Below are 22075 nucleotides of genomic sequence, written 5' to 3' on the forward strand. Positions count from 1 at the left end.
TAATTTAATTGTAAATTTAAGTTTGCTATCCCACTTCACTTTAAACCTTTCTATTTAATAAGATTCACAGATTTTTATTTTTCTGTAAGAAACTGATACATTATTTGACTTTTTTGGTTGCATTCCAACATTTTAACATTAGTATTATAAAAAGAAATCAAAGTTATTTTTATTTCCTTTAAGATTTTATAATAACTGTGCAGCATGAACATAAGGAATATGATATTCATGACTGGAATCAAAGATTATAAACATTTAGAACATGAATAATAGTTAATGTATTAAAACAGTTTTATATATATAATATATATAAACATAATAAATATGTTTTATTGTGTTGAATCACATGAAGTTTCTATTTTTGATAGAAAAAAATCGTCAAATTTTGGCAATCAGCTTATATTAGGTAATTCTGCACATTTTTGCTACCAGTTTAATGAAAATTAAATTGCATGATAGTTAACCACCATAAATGAGTCAGCCCTTTGTGGATTGTCTAAACCTAATACCACTTCCTCTCTCTTTTGATTTAATGACTGCTTTCAGGCTGACTACTCAAGAAGTCTATCTTAAGTGGTAATGAATGAAAGAAAACAATATCCATAAATTTAGATACCTAAAGTAAAAGTTCCGTATTTTATAAAACCCAGGAGTTAGAATAAAGGAGCAGTTAAGACTATGAATTAAATCTTGTTTTGGGAGATTATCTGGATTTATTTACATGTGCTACTATGTCTCTAATCCCATATATAATAAACAATTGAGTAGGCTCTAAAATGCATGTTTCCAACAAATGATATCAAGATGATATTATATTTTTGAGAATTTGTGCAGCTTTTTAGCTGAACAGAAAAAAGGTGGTCTACTACAAAACTTGAACTCTACTACAAAGCAAATCCTTACTGTCAATAGATGTAAATTCTCATCAGTTCTGTCACTGGCAGCCTCTGTGACACAAGCAGGTGGCCTAACCTCTATGGAAGCAGTTTATTTGTTCACTTTACCGAGATCTTAGTGCACATATGCATTCACACTTTTTTAACAACAACTCTGTGATTCTCAGGAGCCCACCCCAGAGGTTAGGAACCATTGGATTATAAAAGCTCTGTTAACCCTTCTTAGTCTCACATTCTAATTTCTATTAACCTAAGAGGTATTAGCAACAATTGAGGAAAAGGAAATAGACTAACTGGAAATATGGAATCATTATAATGAAGATTCCAACCACTCAAGCTGATAATTATGTATGAGTTCTTTCCATTTGACTAGAGGCCAGAAACCAGAGAGGGTGGAATTGATGAGCCAGCGTGTCTTGCTGGCAGTGGCTGCAGCCTGAAAGGAAAGTAATCCAGATAATTATTTAATTGGATACTATTTAAAAAGAGAAGTAGAAACCCCCCAAGAAGTATGGTCCAGATTAAACATCTTTTCCACCATATTGGTTAAATAAAAACCCAAGGATGGTGCACTGATGGCCAACATCCATGAGGTTCCATTTTCACTGCCATGAAATTTCCTTTTAACTGTTCCCTGCTGTCCTTGACAGTCTCTGTCAGCTTTACTTTTCAATGTTAAGTACTTCTGGATGATGATTTTACAATAGTATGCTTATAATGAAAAATGAAAATGAATGAAATCCTAGCTACAAACATAATAACAGGAGGGTAATATTCAAGTGCTTCCTATGAAAGGCATTGCAGTGCAGTGCTTATGACAAAAACTGTCATGAGTCAGCCTGGACTTGAACCATCTTACATCATTTCTATCTTATATGTTACATAATTTATAAAATATGTGTTATAAGTTTGGTTTAGTTATTGAAACTTCCTGTGATTCAGTTTCAGCACTTTTAAACTGGGTGGGATGGTATTGGGGTAGTAGTAAACATTACATAAGTTAATTGGTGGTTAATTTGTATAAAGACTTTATGCCAGTGCTTGGCTTAAGTGCCATATGTCTGAAATAGTAATTTGCTATTATTACTATTTCCTGCATGGCAGTTTTACAGAAAAGTGACTCTTTTTATATGACCTAACTAACTGAGCCCTGGCTCTTTAAAAGTATTGGTTTTGGCTGAATTATCATAGCATGGTGAAGTCTATCAATTTTACAAGAAGTGGCTCAGAAAAACAAATGGCATGCAATACAATACATTTGCATCTGCAGTTATATCTACATAAGACGCTGAGCATAATTTTGGAGGTGATATGACCAATTAAAGTATTTTGCTCCCTCTTTTCTGTTTTCCATTCTCTTGAGATTTTATTTTTAGGTCTTTTTCTCTGAGCTGTATGCATTGATATTTAATGATTGCCATTTTTATTCCTTTTGGAGAATTAAATATTAAATATCAGGCAGAATACCTCCTTTAATTTCCCTTTGGAGTAATAAAATGGTACCAGTAACTGTTTCCTGAGATCTGTAGCAATACCCTTTGTCAAAATGGAAGTACATTATAAAGCCAGAAAACCACGTATCAAGAGCTCTTAGAAAGAGTGTTTTATATTATATAAATATGTCAAATAATGAAAACATCCAAGAGGTGAATTGGTGCTGATTTGGCCTCAGGAATCTCTCACACAAAATGTTACAATAAATTCTAATTACCGAAGTACTTATCAAATTATAAAAAAGTTTTAATTACTAATTTTAATTACTTTATTCACAATGAGATAATTAGCATGAATAAGAATTACTCCCTTTTTCAGCTTTATTGGGGTATAATTAACAAAATTGTATATGTTTAAAGTGCACAACATGATTTAATATACATATGCATGTATCAACACAATCAAATTAATGAACATATTCATCATACATAGTTAACCATTGTGTGTGTATGTATGTATGCATGTGGTGAAGACACTCAATACCTACCTTCCTAGTGAATTTCAAGTAAAACTTCAGTATTATTAATTATAGTCACCATGCTGTACATTAGATCCTCAGAACCTATTCACTTATAACTGAAAGTTTGTACACTTCAAACAACATCTCCCAATTTTCCCCACTCATAATCCCTGATATCTGTTCTTCTACTCTTTGCTTCTATGAGTTCTACTTTTTCAGATATCACATGTAAGTGATACCATACAGTATGGGTATTTCTATATCTGGCTTATTTTATTTAGCATAATGTTCTTTAGGTGCATCCATGTTGTTGCAAATGGAAGGATTTCATCTCTTTTAAGGCTGAATACTATCCCATTTTGTGTGTGTGTGTGTGTGTGTGTGTGTGTGTGTGTGTGTGTAACATTTTCTTTCTTCATTCATCCATTAATAGGTACTTAGGTTGGTTCTACATCTTGGCTGTTGTGAATAATGATGATATGAACAAGAAAGTGCAGATATCTCATCAAGATACTGACTTAATTGCCTTTAGATATATATTCAGAAGTGGATTTGCTGGATTGTATAGTAGTTTTATTTTTAATTTTTTGAAGAACCTCCTTACTGTTTGCCATACTTGCTGAATCAATTTACATTACCATTCCCACTAACAATGTAAAAGAGATCTGTTTTCTTTTCTTTTCTCTTTTTTTTTTTTTTTTTTTTGAGACAGAGTCTCCCTCTGTTACCTAGGCTGGAGTGCAGTGGCACAATCTCAGCTCACTGCAACCTCCGCCTCTCAGGTTCAAGCGATTCTCCTGCCTCAGCCTCCCGAGTAACTGGGATTGCAGGCGCCCGCCACCATGCCTGGCTAATTTTTTGTATTTTTAGTAGAGACAGGGTTTCACTATGTTGGCCAGGATGGTCTCAAACTCCTTCCTGATCCGCCCGCCTCAGCTTCCCAAAGTGCTGGGATTACAGCCACTGCACTGAGTCTAGGGATCCCTTTTCTTAACACCATCACCAACACTTGTTATCCCTTGTCTTTTTGATAATAACCATTCTAACAGCAATATGTCATTGTAGTTTTAATTTGCATTTCCCAGATGATTAGTGAGATAAAGCACCTTTTAATACACCTGTTGGGCATTTGTATGTTTTCTTTGGAAGAATGTTTATTCACACCCCTTGCCCATTTTCTAACCAGGTTATTTCATTTTTTGCTATTAACTTGTATGAGTTCCTTATATATTTTTAATATTAACCCCTTGTCAGATACAAGGTTTGTAAAACCATCTCCCATTTCATAGCTTGCCTTTTTATTTCTTTTGCAGTACATAAGTGTGATTGTTTCTTTTGCAGTACATAAGTTTCTTACTTTGATGTTATCCCGTTTGCTTATTTTTATTTTTTTGCCTCTGCTTTTTGTGTCATATACAAAAAATCATTGCCAATACGAATGTCAAGGAGCTTTTTCCCTGTTTTCTTATAAGAGTTTTATGATTTCAGGCCTTACATTTAAGTCTTTAATCCATTTTGAGTTAATATTTGTGTATGATGTAGGTGTCTAATTTCTTTCTTTTGTATGTGGATATTCATTTATCACAATGCCATTCTCTTTGTATTCTTAGTGCTTTTGTCAAAGATTAGTTGACTGTCTATGTATGGGTTTATTTCTGGCTCTCTGTTCTATTGGTCTATGTATCTCATTTTTATGCCAGTAGCATACTGTTTTGATTACTGTAGCTTTGTAACATAATTTGAAATCAGAAGGTGTGACACCTCCAGTTTTGTTCTTTTTTATTTTTTAAGGACAAGTGTCTCTCTTTGTCACCTGGGCTGCAGTGCAATGGCTTAGTCATAGCTCACTGCAAACTCAAACTCCTGGACTCAAGCAATCCTCCCACCTCAGCTTCTGGAGTTGCTGGGGCTATAAGCATGCACCATCAGCCCCAGCTGGTTATTAATTTTTTATATATAAAAGCGAGGTCTCACTATGTTACCCAGGGTGGTCTGGAACTTCCAATCTCAAGATCCTCCTACCTTGGTCTCCCAAAGCACTGATATTTTAGGCATGAGCTACTGTGCCTGGCCCTGCTGTACTTTCCCAAGATTCGTTTGGCTATTCAACATCTTCTATAGTTTTATATTAATTTTAGAAATGTTTTTCTGATTTCTTTGAAAAATGCCATTGGAATTTTTATAGGGATTACATTGAATCTGTAGATTTATTTGGGTAATATGGATATTTTAGCAGTATTAATTATTCCCATCTCTGAAGATAGGAAGTATTCCATTTATTTGTCTCTTCAGTTTCTTTCATCAACATCTTACAATTTTCAGTGTACAGATCTTTCACCTCTCGTTAAATTTATTTGCAAGAATTTTATTCTTTATTATTCTTTTGTAAAGTGGATTGTTTTGATTCTTTTTAGATGGTTTATTATTAGTATGTAGAAACACAGCTAACTTTTGTATGTTGATTTTTTTGTCCTGCAACTTTACTCAATTTGTTTATTAGTTCTAACAGTTTTTTTTTTTTTTTTTTTTTTTGGTGGAGTCTTTAGGGTTTCCTGTATGTAAGATCATGTTATCTGCAATCAGAAACAGTTTTTCTTCCTTTCTGATTTGGATATCTTTTATTTCATTTTCTTGCCTAATTGCTCTGGCTAGACTTTCAGTACCATGTTAAATAGAAATGATGAGGGTGGGCATCTTTTCTTGTTCCTGATCTTAAAGTAAAAGCTTTCATCTTTTCATTGTTAAGTACAACGTTGGTTGAGAGGTTGTTATATATAGCCTTAGTTCTTTTGAGGTACATTTCTTCTGTACCTTATTAGTTGAGAGTTTTTATCATGGAATAATGCTGAATTTTATCAAATGCTTTCTCTGCATTTGAGATGATCATATGATTTGTATCCTTTATTCTCTTAATGTGATGCATCACATTTATTGATTTGTGTAAGCTAACATATCCTTGCTTGCCAAGGATAAATGTCATTTGATCATGGTATTCTTTTAAAGTGTTATTAATTTGGTTTGATTACATTTTCTTAAAAATGTTTGTATTTATATTCATTAGGAATATTGACCTATGATTTTCTTTTTTTGTAGTATCCATATCTGGCTTTAGTATCAGAATAATGCTAGCTTCTTAAAATGAGATTGGAGGTATCCTCTCCTTCTGAATTTTTAGAAGAATTTGAGAAGGATTGATACTAATTCCTCTTTAAATATCTGATATAATTCACTTGTGAAGCTATCAGGTTTTAGGCTTTTCTTTAGAGGTTTTTACTCATGATCGGTCTGTTCAGGTTTTCTACTTCTTCATTATTCAGTCTTGGTAACTTGTATGTTTCTAGGAATTTATCCTTATTCCAGGTTATCCAATTTGTTGGAATATTATTATTCGGAGTAGTCTCTTATGACCCTTTGTATTTCTGTGGTATCAGTTGTAATGTCTTCCCTTTTATTTATAATTTTATTTGAGTCCCTTCTTTTTTTCTTGGTTGGTATGGCTAAAGGTTTATCAATTTTGTTTATATTTTCAAAAAACCAAGTTTTAGCTTTGTTGGTATTTCATTGTTTTATTAGTCTCTATTTGATTTATTTTTGCTCTGATCTTTGTTACATCCTATCTTCTACTAACTTTGGCATTAGTTTAGTTTGTTCTTCTTTTCCTAGTTCCTTGAGGTATAAAATTTAGCGTTTTATTTGGGATCTTTCTTTATGCTTATTATAGGCAGTTATGATTATAAACTTCCCTCTTAGAACTGTATTTGCTGCATCCTATCAGTTTGGGTACGTTCTGTTTTTATTTTTTGTGGTCTCAAGATACTTTCTGATTTCCCTTTTGATTTCTTCTTTGACCCATTGGTTGTTCAGGTAGCATGTTGTTTAATTTTCATATGCTTGTGAATTTTACAAAATCTTCCTGTTACTGATTTCTGGTTTCATACTATTGTGGTCAGAAAAGATAAAGTGCTGTTTTGTGGCTTAATATATGATCTTATCCTGAAGAATGTTCCATGTATGCTGGAGAAGAAGGTTCATTTTGCTGCTTCAGATGGAATGTTTTGAATATATTTGTTAGTCATTTGGTGTATGGTGTTATTCAAGTCCATTGTTTCGTTGTTGATTTTGATCTGTATGATCTATTCATTGTTGCAAATAGAAATTGAAGTCCCCTATTATTATTGTATTGCTGTCTCTTTTTTTTCAGTTCTGTTAGTAGTTGCCTTGTATGTTTAGATGCTCTGGTACTGGATATATATATATACAAAATTGTTACATTCTCTTTATATATTGACACTTGTTATTATATAATGACCATCTTTGTTTCTTGTAACAGATTTTGACTGAAAGTCCATTCTGTCTAATTTGAATATATCCACCCCTGCTGTCTTTTGGTTACCATTTGATTAGAATGTCTTTTCCCATTCCTACATTTCAGCATATGTGTGTCCTTAAGACTAAAATGATTCTCTTATAGGCAGCTTATAATGGGCTCTTGTTTTTGCTTTTTGAATCTATTCAGCCACTCTGCATTTTTAGATTGAAGAATGTAATCCGTTTACATTTAAACTAATTATTGATAGGTAAAGACTTATGACTTCCACTTTTTAAAATGTTTTGCTATTCTTCTGTTCCTTTCTTTTTCTCCTGCTGTCTTTCTTTGTATTTTGATGATTTCCTATAATCTTATATTTTTAATTCCTTTTTGTCTTTTGTGTGTCTACTAGAGGTTTTTTCTTTGTGGTTACAATGAGGCTTGCGTAAAAGATCTTATAACATTCCATTTTAAGTTGATAAGAACTTGACTTCAGTTGCATACAAACACTCTACACTTTTACTCCCCAGTCAACGTTTTATGCTATTGATGTCACACCGTGCATCTCTTTATATTGTATATCTTTAACAAACTAGTGTATCTATAGTTATTTTTAATACTTTTGTTTCTTAACTTTTACTCTAAAGTTAACAAGTGGTTTATATACAACTATTACAATATTCTGAACTTGACTATATTTTTAACTTTACTAGGGAATCTTATACATTCAGATATTTTTATTTTGTTAATTAGCATCTTTTCAGTTCAATTTAGCATTAAGTTCTACCTTCAGCATTCTTTTAAAAGTCAGATCTAGTGGCAATGAATTCCCTTAGCCTTAGCTTCTGTGGAAAAGTCCTTCTCTCTCCTACATTTCTGAAAGACAGCCTTGTTGGATATAGCATTCTTTTTTAACTCTTCGTTTCCTGAACACTTTGAATATATCATTCCACTCTCTCCTGGTTTTCAAGGTTTTTTATGGAGATGTTCACCAATAGTTTTATCAGGGTACCCTTCTTTGTGATGAGTCTCTTTTCCCTTGCTGCTTTAAAGTTTCCCTCTTTATTGAAGACTTTAGTCAATTTGATCATAAAGTATTCCCTCTCTATCTGTGAGGAATAAATTCTAAGATTCCCAGTGGATGCCTGAAACTGTGGATAGTACTGAATCCAATTGCCATCAGTTGGAACCTGTTTCTGTTCATGTCTTCTACAAACAAATTTAATGCCTTTTCCATCTTTGCTTATCACACATTGTGACCATAACTTCTGCAGTCTGAAGTGCAACAGCAAATGGAAACTAGTATGAATTTCCATTTTTTCTTCTTAATTTCATGGGTAGAAGATTTGTTCTTACCATGGATCTTGGGAAACTCAGCATACCATTTTTTTTCTTTCTTTACTAAGTCAAGAGCTTTCACCTTTCCACTTGATGGCTTCTCTTTGGCATATCCAAATTGCCAGCATCACTACTCTTGTGCTTTGGAGCCATTATTAAGTAAAAGAAGTATTACTTGAACACAAACTGCAATACCACACAGTCAATCTGATAACAGATGGCTACTAAGTGACTAAATGACTGTTAGCATACTCAGTGTCATATCCTGGAAAAAGGGATAATCCACATCCTGGACAAGAAAGAGCAGGACAGAGTTAGATTTCATCACTCTGCTCAGAACAGAATGCAATTTAAAACTTGTGAATTGTTTATTTCTGGAATTTTCCGTATAGTATTTTCAAACTGTGGTTGACTGACTGTAGGTAAATGAAAGCATTGAAAGTGAAACCACAGATAAAGGGGAACTACTGTAATGTGTCTCAGAAAAATATTCTCTGGGTGGGTCCTTCTTTAGATTCTTTGAGCTTCATAAATCTGGATGTCTGTATCCCTCTGGGAAGTTTTCAGACGTTATTTCTTTAAGCCTTCTGTTTCTTTCTTTCTCTCTTCTCCTGTGACTTTCATAAATCGCGTATTTATTATCTTGATGGTACCCATAGGTTAGTATGCTCTCTTTCTATATATATTGTATTTATTTATTTATTTATTTGAGACAGGGTCTTGCTCTGTCACCCAGACTGGAGTTGAGTGGTGTGATCTTGGCTCACTGCAACCTTTGCCTCCTGGGCTCAAGTGATTCTCCTGCCTCAGCCTCCCGAGTAGCTGGGACTGCAGGCGCAGGCCACTATGCCTGGCTGAATTTTCTTTTTTCTTTTTTTAAGAGACAGGGTTTCACTGTGTTGCCCAGGCTGGTCTCGAACTCCTGACCTCAAGCAATCCACCTGCCTTGGCCTCCCAAAGTGCTGGGATTACGGGCATAAGCCACTACGCTTGGCCTAGTATGCTGTCTTTACTCTTTTTTAATTGTCATTCCTCTAACTGGCTAATTTCATGTGACCTGTCTTTAAGTTTGATATTTTTTTCTTCTCCATGATTAAATATGATATTGTAGCTCTCTTTTGAATTTTTCAGTTCTATTATTGTATTCTTCAATCCAGGATTTCTGTTTTTTTTTTTATGGTTTCTATTTTTTATGAACTTCTAATTTTGTCCATGCATTGTTTTTCTGATTTCATTTAGTTGTCTGTTTCCTCTTCCATCCCATTGATCTTCTTTAATATGATTGTTTTGAATTCTTTGTCAGACAGTTCATAGATCTCAATTTCTTTGGGGTTGTTACTGGTGCTTATTAGTTTCCTTCTGTGGTGTCATGTTTATCTAATTCTTTATTGTCTGTGTAGCTTTGCCTTTGTGTCTGCATTTGAAGGAACAAATACCTGTTCAAGTCTTTACAGATTGGCTTTGGCAGATATTGACCTTCTCCTGTAGGGTTCCCAGCCTGCTAGGATTGGTTTTGGGACCACAGTCGACTGGAATTTTAACTGGGTCACGAGACTTTTGCTGGTTCTTACAAGGAGCAGAGTGTATATGGATCCTGTCTGGTCTCAAGACAGATTGGACTTTGGGCAGTAGAACAGACACTAGGGCAAGGGTGTGCTTTAGATTCCACAGTTGGCTCCACAGATGGTAGGCCTATTACCAGGTATACTATTCGGTGTCTTTCTCTCCAGGTTCTTAAGAGGGCTCCCACTGGGTCACTAGGTGGATCCTTGGTCAGGCAGAACTGGTCCTGGACTATGGCTGAGAGGGGCTAGAACTGAGTTAGAGAGTGTGCTTCAGGGTCCACAGCTGAGTTCAGTGTTTTTAGGTCTCTCTCCAGGGTCACAGACAAATGTACCTCCTGCCAGGTTCTTGATTGGGCAAGACTGCCCCTGACTGCAGCCGAGCAGGGCTGGAGCTGGGTCACAGGTCTACTTCAGGATCTACATTCAGCCTGAGGCCTATTTCTGGGAGCATGGATAAGCATGTTTCCTATAAAGTCCCTTGGTGGGCAGAACTGCTCTCAGATCACAGCTGAGAGGAGCTGGAACCAAGTTAAAGGGCTCTTTCAGCATCTACAGTGGGACCAAAGTTGGTGGGACTGCCACCAGGGCATGAATGGGCATATCTCCTGGCAGGTCCCTGTGTGGGAAGAAATGCTGTCAGACTACAGGTGAGAATGGCTAGAGCTGAATTACAGGGCCTCTTTATGGTCGACAGCTAGGGCTGAGATCAGCCGGTCTGTTGTACAAAGTGCATGTGGGCATGACTCCTCCCTCATTCCTTGGTGGATGATTCTGGTGGCAGGACAAAGGCCAAATGGAGTTGTAGCCAAGTTCATAGGGGGCTGAGGCTGTTTCTGGGTCTGTATCCAGGACCACTGTTCATAAGCCTGGCAACTGGGTACAAGCCTGCCCTCTCAGACAGCCCTGATCAGTCTTGGACTTCGTATCTGAATCCAAAGCTCGAAAAAGGCACTTTTTTCCATAGATAGCTGCCAAATTATTGTTCTGTGGGAGGATATGAGTAGAGGATCTCCTATTCTGCTATCTTGCTGACTCCTAGAATAGTTCCTTTATAAATATTGTACTAGATGAGGTTTCTAATTTCTCAGCAGACACTTATTCCAAACTCCTAGACTTTCACACCTAAAAATGTGCCTCTGAATAAATATTTAATTTTACAGTATCAGTTTACATTTTTAGACCTATGAAGTAATATTAGAGTATTAATTCTTCTTAATCAACTGTCTTTACTAAAGGGGGTTCCAGGTGAAAATACAGTAATGATATTAAAAATACCACAGAGCACAGGCTCTGACCAATAGAATAGACACTGGCTATAGAATTAGAGTGAGGTACTAGAGTACCCTTGTTTCACCAGAGGTTAACCAGGCAGTGCTGGATAACAGGGAGGTGAGAGGCTCTGTGAAGGAGGCTGGGGAGAAAAAGAAAGTGGGATATAAGGAAATTGGAGCCCCAACTATTTACCAACCTATACAGCCATATGAGTGCATTCCTGTAAAGTGTATATATTTATAGCATCCTTGTGGGAAATGCATTTGAAAAGCCAAGAATGATAAGAAAATACCCTTACTACCAAAAAACTTTGAATAATAATCAATATTTATTCTTCATCAAGGTTGCTATATTCCTTCTTGAAAAAAGAAATTGTGGTGATTTCATTCAGAGTTGTTTGAGGTTTCTCAAGCTCAAGAAAACAAAATCAAAAACACATAGACTTAACCTGGAGAAAATTTTGCTTAAATCCCACTATTCTTATTACATAATACTTGCAATTTCTATCTATTGAGTTATAATAATTAGTTAGAACTTCTCCCATGCTTATTTAATTCATTTGAATTTTTGTGATCAAAGTTACTCTACACCACAGCAGGAGACAATCTGTATTTTATATTTTAGAGGTCGTGAGTCAAATTCTTTTGAAAGTTTGCAATTTTAATAAAATAATGAGGTTTAATAGGAATGTTTATTTTCTAAAATTTTAAAAAATAATGTATCTTTCCATTCATGAGGAGAAAAAAAAACATAAGAAGTGTTTCTTTATATCCATTATATTAAAGTATAACTTGCCTCAAATAAGAAATTGTGAAAAGGAAAACCAAATTTTTGGCTTAGAGGTTTACACTATGTACAATTGAAAAGAGAATTCTATGAAGATTCATATTATTTTATATGAGTTTCAATTATTATAAGACATTAGAGGGCAAAAACGGTTTTGTTAATTGCCAAAACGGATATGTGTTCTACAATGTTATTTCACCTCTATGTTTTTTCTTCTGTTTTCCTTTATTTCCCTTTTCTTTCTTGCATTTTTATCTGATTAAATTTATTTCAAGTAATTGTTTTTTTTTTTCTTCTTATAATTCTAAACAATATCTAGCCATCAATATAGCCCTGAAAAGCACAGGCTTAACTACATTATGGACAATTCTCTGGCAGATCAAATTTTCATCACCCACATTTCAGATCTACTTTAAAAGTCAGCATTAAAGACTAATTTGAGTATTTTTCTGATTTTTAAAAATGCTTTAGTTTCAACTAACCCTCATTGAATTCCATCTGTGTATACTTATGCAAGATTTTATGGGGGCTACAAAGATAGATAAGAGAAAATGTCAGGCTCCTAGTATCTTATCTAGCAGGGAGCAGTTGCTCTGACATGGAGAGAGGTCACTAGACCACAAGCCATGGATGATATATGTCCTATGAGAACAGGCTACATTATTGGCTTTTAGAGGTGGTCCCTGTATGGAGCTTATCAAGTCTTAGAGATGGTGATGAGTCTGGTCTAACTATCCCTCTCTTTTGTAGAAGGATAATGGAATCCAAAGATTTCCTCACCCATTCACCATCTGCCTTATCTTCTTACATTGCATGTCCACTACCCTTGGTAAACAATGTACAGGTTTACTAAGAGCTACACACCAATGTTTTCTTGGGACACTTACTGCACTAACCAAAGTCATTTTTAATATTGTTGTTGTTAATTATTTGTTCCATAATTATTATCTTAATGTTCTTTGGGGAAAACTGCTTTTGATAGAAGGCATTTAATTTTTTTTTTTTTTTTTTTTGAGATGGAGTCTCGCTCTGTCACCCAGGCTGGAGTGCAGTGGCGCAATCTCGGCTCACTGCAAACTCCACCTCCCAGGTTCAAGTGATTCTCCAGCCTCAGCCTCCCAAGTAGCTGGGACTACAGGCGCACACCACTGCGTTTGGCTAATTTTTTTGTATTTTTAGTAGAGACAGGGATTCACCGTGTTGGACAGGCTTGTCTCGAACTCCTGACCTCAGGTGATCCACCTGCCTTGGGCTCCCAAAGTTCTGGGACTACAGGCATGAGCCACCATGCCCGGCCAACTTTTTTCATCTTCCTTTTGGCTAATATACCTTAGGGTAGGTGCTTGCCAAGGGGCAGACATTTAATACAACACAGATAACATGCACTCTCTAGTATCTATATTTTATGCCTTATGTTCTTTAATGAGTGTCTTGTTCCTTACAGGACAGTTCTTTTTACTCTGACGTCTGTGGTTGTACTTGTGATTACAACGGACTGGATCAGCTGGGACAAGCTGAATCGGGGATTTTTGCCCAGTGATGAAGTTTCCAGAGCATTCCTTGCTTCTTTTATCTTGGTCTTTGACCTTCTTATTGTGATGCAGGTAAGTGTATTTCCCTCCCCTCAGTGAAGCTGCTGCATGCTCTGTTCCCAGTATAACAAACAGGATATGGCAACAGGCTCCATAAATCTAAATAAGTACAGCATTTACAGTTACTTTTGATGGGGCCTTCTCTGTTTATATTTTCAGCTATTATACTGGGAGGGAAAGCCAATTGGACTTTTATAAGAGGGGCACCAAAAATGTATTTTATGAACATTGCAAGGTGGGCCCCTAGAAACCATATAGCACATTGGTATTTTCTGCCTAGGCTTTAGGGGGAAAAAAAACACACTCAGAAACAAAAACCAAAAATCCTTGTCATTTAGTAAATGGAAAGCTGCAGACATGAGGATTATATAAAAGCAGCAAAGCAGGGAAAAGCAATTGTCAAAGCAACTCAGGGTTTTATAGCAGTTGAAATGAAGTGATGTAAAAATTCTTTTTCTGGTTATGGAAATTGTTACTTTCTTTCAGTATTCACCAGAGATCATTCCATTTTCATGTAAACCATATTTCTGCCCTGCTTAGCAACAGATTTTTCATACAATAGCATCACACTAACCAGTGTTACTCATGTAATCTGGTGTGACTCTTTGGCGTTTTAGGACTATTCTTTTGAATGGGGCAGAAAGAGACACTAGCTATTTCTTGCTCATTAAATATCCATCCATTTGTTAGACATTTTCTTATTGCTTTCATAAGGCAATTTTTTTCCCTCCTGAGGCATTGTAAGTCACCAGACCAAAGACTACAATTACTGAAGGAATACTCCACTGTATTCTGAATTTATGTGAGATTTCACAGGATAGCAGATTGGTTTTCTCATTTCTAGAGGCAAAAAGAGGCCTTTATGAGAGATATTCAGTGTTGTCTCAAAAGAGAATAACAGTTTATTTATTGATTTTTTTTAAATTTGTTAAATAATATATCTTGGGCATTAGGTTCAAGATGGTTCTTTGAGTATATTACTACTTTAATGGATAATATTTTAAAATACACTATCATTTTTAAAAATTATTTAAAGAGGTAAAACGGAATATTTTTGTTGCATTTGAAAATTGATAAATTTCTTATTTCCTGAAATAGCAATGGAAAAAACTTTCCAATCTGACTTTGAGTTAGACAGCACTGGCAGGTTCTAGATCTGCCTGTCACTAAGCTGTAGGACGTCCCATGGGTATCTACAGAATTGAATTTTTAGCACTTATGCAATAATGTATCATGCATTACTTATATAAAGGCTATTTTTATCTTCCTCTATTTCCTAACTAATATAATTTCTCTTGTAAAATGTCCACATTGGCCAGATGGCCTACTGATACCTCTCTGAACCCATCTTAAAGTCAATGGTATTAGTAGCCCAGTAGACTGTTGTCTAATTGAATTTGCTTACATTCATATATTTGAGAGCATAAATTCTTTGATTGTCCATTACCATCCTCATGCTTCTACTCTGTTTGTGTAAGTTTTCAGTATTCTTCCAATAAGTTCACTAAAATCAAGGACTTCAAGTGGGAAAATATAACATTGTAATTTACAGATATTATGGATTCACTCAAAAACTGCTTAATAAAGACAGATGGAAGAAAGAAAGGATAGTCAGGATTTACATAGGCAGAGTCAGCAAAGGGGAAGGGAAAGACATTCTAGATGAAAAAATATCATAACAATGTAAAATGTTAATAACATGCTGAAGTGTTCAGAGAGTAGTCAGAGCACCAAATGACCGACGATGAAGAGTTTATGCTGAGGAATATTTAAGTTTGGACCATTTTGGCTACAAGTAGCAATAACCCGGCCAAGCTAACTTAATCAAAGGAGGAATGTATTGCTGCATTTTAGGGATATCCTACCCAATTCAAGAGGAGGGATGTAGTTGCCTCTAGGGACACATGAAAGCAGAGACCAGGGTGTAACAGGGAATCCAGACCTAGCATTTATTTTCCATCTCTTATCTTTTTTGTTTTTGCCTTCTCTTTTTTTTTCTCTTATTGTAAAATGGCCTTTCCAGGTTTCTCGTTCAAATGGAAGAAAATGGCTACTGCCGACACCTCAGAGGGCAATCACCCTCTAGCTGTCAGGCCTGATTCCAGATTTCCTAGGAAGGAATTGGAGAAACTCATGGGCTCAGCATGGGAGGCTATGGTGATGAGGTCATCTGAAAGAAAAGGGGAGAGAGGTTGGGCTATAACTCCAAATTAGTAGGTTTCTAATATAAAGATGAGTAAAAAATTAGCCCCAAAATTTAGGTCTCTTAACTTCTTCTTTTCTGTCTCCCCTAACACTAAGTCAGCTAGCCAGGCCTACTGATTTATCTTTATGCCTTTAATATCATTCTTCTTTCTCGTTTCCTTGCCACCATTCCAGTCTTGACTCCCCTCTATACTATTTAATCTCCTATGGATCTTCTGCCACCACACATCCACGTACCATATGCCCTATGCAGCTCTTCTTCATAACCTTCCAGTTGGAAATGTCATGTTTTACACTTCTCAGCCCTAGATATTGTCCATGACTCCTCATTGTCCGAGAGGAGAGTCCAGCCTCTGGGAGCTCTCTGAGTGCCCTCCATGGTCTGGCCCTGACTCTGTATTCTCCCACGTCTTCTATGCTCTAGTTCCACCCAGATCAACATATTTGCTGCTGGGCATTTGCCCACAGCATACTTATTCCCCAGTGTCAGGAGTCTCTTGTTCCTCTACAGATTGTGCCTTTTCTGTTCTGCTCATTTGGATCCTACCATTGGAGACCATTTCAACTTTCTCTTCATTAAAGTCATGTGATCACTTCCTCTTCAGAACTCCTGTAGCACTTTTTACCTGAACTGCAAATCAATATGTCACTTTTTCCTTATAACTCTTCATATCCATGGAGCTTCCCAAGCAAAGTGCCTTACATGGCAGGAGTAGGCCCAGAGTAATAACTGCTTGATGAGGATAAAGAAGTGACAGCTAAGCACTGAGTCATGTGCAAACTGTATCCCTCTTTGTGAGCATCATGTAGAAGTTGTAGGAACTAGTACATGTGGTAAGAGAGTTAATTTAAGGAAACAGAGCCCCAGAAAGCATATGTACTCAAGACATTTGAAAATATATAAGACAAATATCCTAACAAGTTCACAACCAACTAAACTGTGTTCTAATTCATCCCATATTTACATATTCCAGATGAAAGAAAAATAAAGAAGTAAAATTAGTGTCACTGAAACACCTGTCCTTATTAGAATTATTTAAATGATTTGAAAGCAGTCGATCCTAGGTTCTCTATTGGTAGGAAAATTCCACTTATACTATAGAAAGGTATTGTATTTTTTTTTTTTCTGATATGGAGTTTCACTCTTGTTGCCCAGGCTGGAGTGCAATGGCGTGATCTCGGCTCACTGCAACCTCTGCCTCCTGGGTTCAAGCGATTCTCCTGCCTCAGCCTCCCAGGTAGCTGGGATTACAGGCATGCACCACCATACCTGGCTAATTTTGTATTTTTTTTTTTAGTAGAGATGGGGTTTCTCTATGTTGGTCAGGCTGGTCCCGAACTCCCAACCTCAGGTGATCCGCCCACCTCGGCCTCCCAAAGTGCTGGGATTACAGGCATGAGCCACCGTGCCCAGCTGGTATTGTAATTTTTTTTTAAAAGAAACCATTAGAATTTGGTGCTACTTTTGTAAAGTTCTTTTTATTATTTTTAATAAAATTAGCAGGCCAGTTCTGAATACTTTTAGAGAAAGTAAATCATTAATTTTTATAGATATTTACTAAATAGGATTTTTCTACCTTTATTGTTGTATCACATTTTTCTGTGGTTTTAGTAAACTCACTAGAACTAGGGCATAAACAGATACCAGCAAAGTGTAACGTGACTCACACATGCTACGTACAGGACACAAGAAATAAATTGTAGAGAAAACATTCTTCTAAGGAAAACTTTATCTCAGTTTCTGTTAAGTATTTGTAATTATGTCATTTGATTTATATATATCCCTCTATTTCTTTGCATAAGTATTTGACTTGTAGCATATCCCACCCACCGTTCTTCTTTGCTAGGTTAAGGAAAAGATTCAGGTAATGGATACCCTAAAAGTGCAGACTTCACCACTACACAATCTATCCATGTATGAAAATTACACTTGTACCCCATAAATTTACACAATTTTTTAAAAAAGAGTTAAAATATGTTTGTAAACAAAGGAAAAAAGTGGGACAAATGGAGCAAAATATCCAAATAGAACCTTCCAGTGATCGTCCCCCTATAGGAGCATGAAAGTTAACAATTCATATAAGAAAGCACCTCCATAAGAACCAAAAATCAGATGAATGATCACAGTGCTTGGTTTTAACATTATATTAGGAAAGAGGCACTGAAGAGGGTAAGAGAGACAGTCTTGAATTGCTGATACCTCTCTTCCCCCATCCCCCAGCAGTGGCCACGTGGCACAGAATCTATGTGCTTAGGGGAGGGAGGAGAGCACAGTGACTATGGGACTTTGCATTGGAACTTAGTGCTGCCTGTCATAGCAGAATGCAACACAGGGCAAAATTCAGCTGGCACACATAGAGAGCATCTAGACCAGCCCTAGCCAGAGGGGAATTTCTGGTAGCCTCCCAACTGCAGGCTAAAGTGCTTTGGGATCCCAAATAAATTTGAAAGGCAGTCTAGGCCACAAGGACTTGGAATTTCTTGGCTAGTCCTTGTGCTGTGCTGAGCTTGGAGGCAGTAGACTTTGTGTCATGCGACCTAGTGAGACACCAGCCAGGGTGGCCAAGGGAGTGCTTGAACCACTCCTTCTTCAATCCCTAGTAGTGCAGCTCACAGCTCCAGGACAGACTCCTTTCCTCTGCTTCAGGAGAGGAGAGCAGACAGTAAAGAGGACTTTGTCTTGCAACTTGGATACTAGCTTACCACAGTAGAATAGGGCACCAGAGAGAGTCCTGAGGCCCCTATTTCAGGTTCTACCTCTGGACAACATTTCTGGGCCAGAAGGGAACCCACTGACTTGAAGGGAAGGACTCAGTCCTGGCAAGATTAATCACCCATTGTCTAAAGGGCCCTTGGGCCTTAAATGAACATAAGGAGTAGCTAGGCAGTACTCACTGCAGCCTTGAGTGACATCCAGAGCCATGTTGGTTTCAGGTGAAACCCAAACATCCCCACCTGTGGTGGCCATGGCGAGATATTCCTTCTACTTGAGGAAAGCAGAGTGAAGAGTAAAGGGAACTTTGTCTTGTAGCTTGGGTACCAGCTCAGCCGCAGTGGGGTAGAGCACAGAGTTGGCTCCTGAGGTTCCTGACTCCAGGCCTTGGCTCCTAGATGACACATCTGGACTCATCCTGGGCCAGAGGGGAGCCCATTCCTGAAAGGAGAGAGCCAGGCCTGGCAGTATATACCATAAGCTGACTAAACAGCCATTGGATCTTGTGTGAACATCAGCAGTAGCCAGGCAGTACTTGCCATGGGCCTGGGGCAGTGGTAACCATGAGGAAAGACTCTTCCTTCTTGACATTGGCTTTGGCAAAGAATTTATGACTTAAGTCCCCAAAAGCAATTGCAACAAAAACAAAAATTGACAAGTGAGACCTAATTAAACAAAAGAGCTTTTGTACAGAAAAAGAAATAGGAGAGTAAAAAGACAACCCACAGTATTGGAGAAAATATCTGCAAACTATACATCCAACAGAGGTCTAATATCTAGAATTTAAAAGATACTTAAACAACTCAACAAGCAAAAAACAGATAATCCCATCTAAAATTGGGCAAAAGAACATGAACAGACACTTCTCAAAAAAAAAAAAGACAAGCAGCCAACAAGCATATGAAAAAATGCTCATCATCACTAATCATCAGATAAATGCAAATCAAAACTGAATGACATACCATCTCACAGCTGTCAGTCTGACCTATTATAAAAAAGATTAAAAAGAATAACAGATGCTGGCAAGGCTGCAGAGAAAAGGGAATGCTTATGCCCTAATGGTGGGAATGTAAATTGTTCAACCACTGTGGAAAGCAGTTTGGAGATCTCTCAAACAGCTTAAACAGAACTAGCATTCAACCCAGCAATCCCATTACTGAGTATATACCCAAAGGAAAAGAAGTTGTTCTACCAAAAAGACACATGCACACATATGTTCATCCAGCCTAGGTGCCCATCAACAGTGGATCAGATAAAGAAAATGTGGTACCTGAACACCATGGCATACTATACAGCCATGAAAAAGAATGAAATGATGTCCTTTACAGCAACATGGATTCATCTGGAGACCATCATCCTAAGTGAATTAACAGAGGGACAGAAAACCAAATACCACATGTTCTCATTTATAAATGAGAGCTAAACATTGAGTACAGGTGAACATAAAAACAGGTACTACAGACACTGGGGACTACTGGAGAGGGTAGAAGGGAAGAGGGGAATGGACCGAAAAACTACCCATCAGGTACTATGCTCTCTCCTGGGCAACAGGGCCATCCATACCCCAATTCTTAGCATCACATAATATACCCATGTAACAAACCTGCACTTGGACCCCCTGAGTCTATAATAAAATTGGAAATTATTTTAAAAAGAAAAAGAAAAAAATGGAAAGTAGATGATAAACCTAGCAGAAATCTACTCATATTTCTATATCAATAAATACAAATATATGTGTGCCTATATACATAGATATATATGTGCAGGTGTGTGTGTAATATCTTAGATTTATGTGCATCAAGTTCATAACAGAAGCTGAATAGAGGAGAGACTATTAAAAAAAGAAAGTTTCAAAGATCAAGTTTTGGATCCTTATACTATTGATATCTTTCAATACTTCTGTCTCCTGTAATTTATCTAAGTACCTGCTTGTCACCTGTGTACATACATACCTCCTATAATGTGTAAGCTCCTTGAGGAGAGGAAGTGTTTTATCAATTTTTTCATTCCCACAGCATGATTAGTGCATTGCAGTTTTACCATAAATATTTTGCTTTGTGAAAGAGTAAAGGAATTAATGTAACATTATTTCACATGCACCAAATAATGTGATTTTTCAAGAGGTGAAATACCAGCAGCAGGAGAATGAACTATCAATAATATTACATTTGGTCATTTTCACTGAAGTATGATCTTACAGTAATTAACTATCTAAATATAAATCTGAATAAATTGTCGTTAGGTGTTAAAAAGCACTCTGTGGTATAGTCAAAAGGCACTTGGAGAGAAGTGATATTTCCTGAAAAGCAATTGTTAATGCACTGAAAAAATAATCATGAAAATTGCATTCCACAAACATTTCACCATGTAACAGATTTGAAGTGTGTTTGTATTCTGTTTTGTGCGTGGCTCTAAGAAGTAGGTTGACTACTTTAAAAATAGACATTGTGACTCTTGGTAGACTTTATTTTAAAACCCCATTGACCTGACGTTAGTAGAGCATTTCTTTTGAGGTCACAGTTGTGGAAAGTGGATTCAGTCATTTCAGAGCATATGGCAGAGCAACAAGCATAAACCTATGTTAATTAAATAGTCATGGTGTTTTAACAAGTTGGAATATATTTTCAAGATAAGTTATTCCAACTGATTACATTTACAGGCTACTTAGAAAGAAAGATTTGTTTAAATGTTTGTCCACTAGATTTAACATCTCCTTGAGCTTTGGGAGTATTTTCTATAACTTCTTCAAACTATTTTAAGTTCCTCTTTACATGTGTTTAACATCTTCATTTTTCCTTACTAAAGGAAAAATACTATTTGAAAACACAATAGTGCTGGCTTCTGTTATAGGGTCCCAAGTGGTGACGTGGAATAAAGGGCTTATCACTTAGGTAATACCTGGATTAACCATAAATGCCTACTCTCCTCATGGTATGTGCTTAAGGGATTAAATCTCAACTTTATTTACTCTCACTTCCCTCATTACTGCTAGTACAGCGGGGAGACAGAGTGTTCAGGGAGAATCACGGAGGAGGACTGCATCATGTTTATTAGCAGTCCTGGCAACAGACCTCCAAATAGTAGACAGACTTAACACGGTGAGTTTGTCCATACAGAAGGAAGGAGTCCAGCCAAGTGGGTAGTCTGCATGAAGTGCCAAGGAGGATGTCCTAACAGGTGGCCCATGGTATCAGAGGAATTTGGCAGAAGGTAATAGTGAGCTGGAAGCATTGGGTTTATCAGGCAAAAACTTTTAGGATTCAATCATGGGTACTGGAGTGACAAACGCATTCACTTGAAAATGAAACTAATGGTCTGGTTAGCATATGATATAGATGACAGTTGAAACTGATAGTAAATTCTGTGAGGGATTATCGTGAGCGGGAGAGATCACTCAGGTTTTTATGTATAACATGGAAAGAATGTAGTTTGAAGGAATTATAAG

The 22075-nt window shown here is 36.6% G+C and overlaps 1 protein-coding gene across 10 annotated transcripts in view; it reads left to right on the plus strand.

Annotated features, from left to right (window-relative positions):
• Nucleotides 1-22075, plus strand: part of TMEM117 (transmembrane protein 117) — a 603307-nt gene that overhangs the window by 490214 nt on the left and 91018 nt on the right. For all 10 annotated transcript variants that reach the window (XM_047429662.1, XM_047429665.1, NM_032256.3 and 7 more), the window contains one exon: nucleotides 13565-13724. In XM_047429662.1, the coding sequence (XP_047285618.1) occupies nucleotides 13565-13724 (160 nt within the window). The remainder of the gene's footprint in view (nucleotides 1-13564; nucleotides 13725-22075) is intronic.

This window comes from Homo sapiens, chromosome 12, assembly GCF_000001405.40.
Source record: "Homo sapiens chromosome 12, GRCh38.p14 Primary Assembly".
Taxonomy (NCBI): domain Eukaryota; kingdom Metazoa; phylum Chordata; class Mammalia; order Primates; family Hominidae; genus Homo; species Homo sapiens.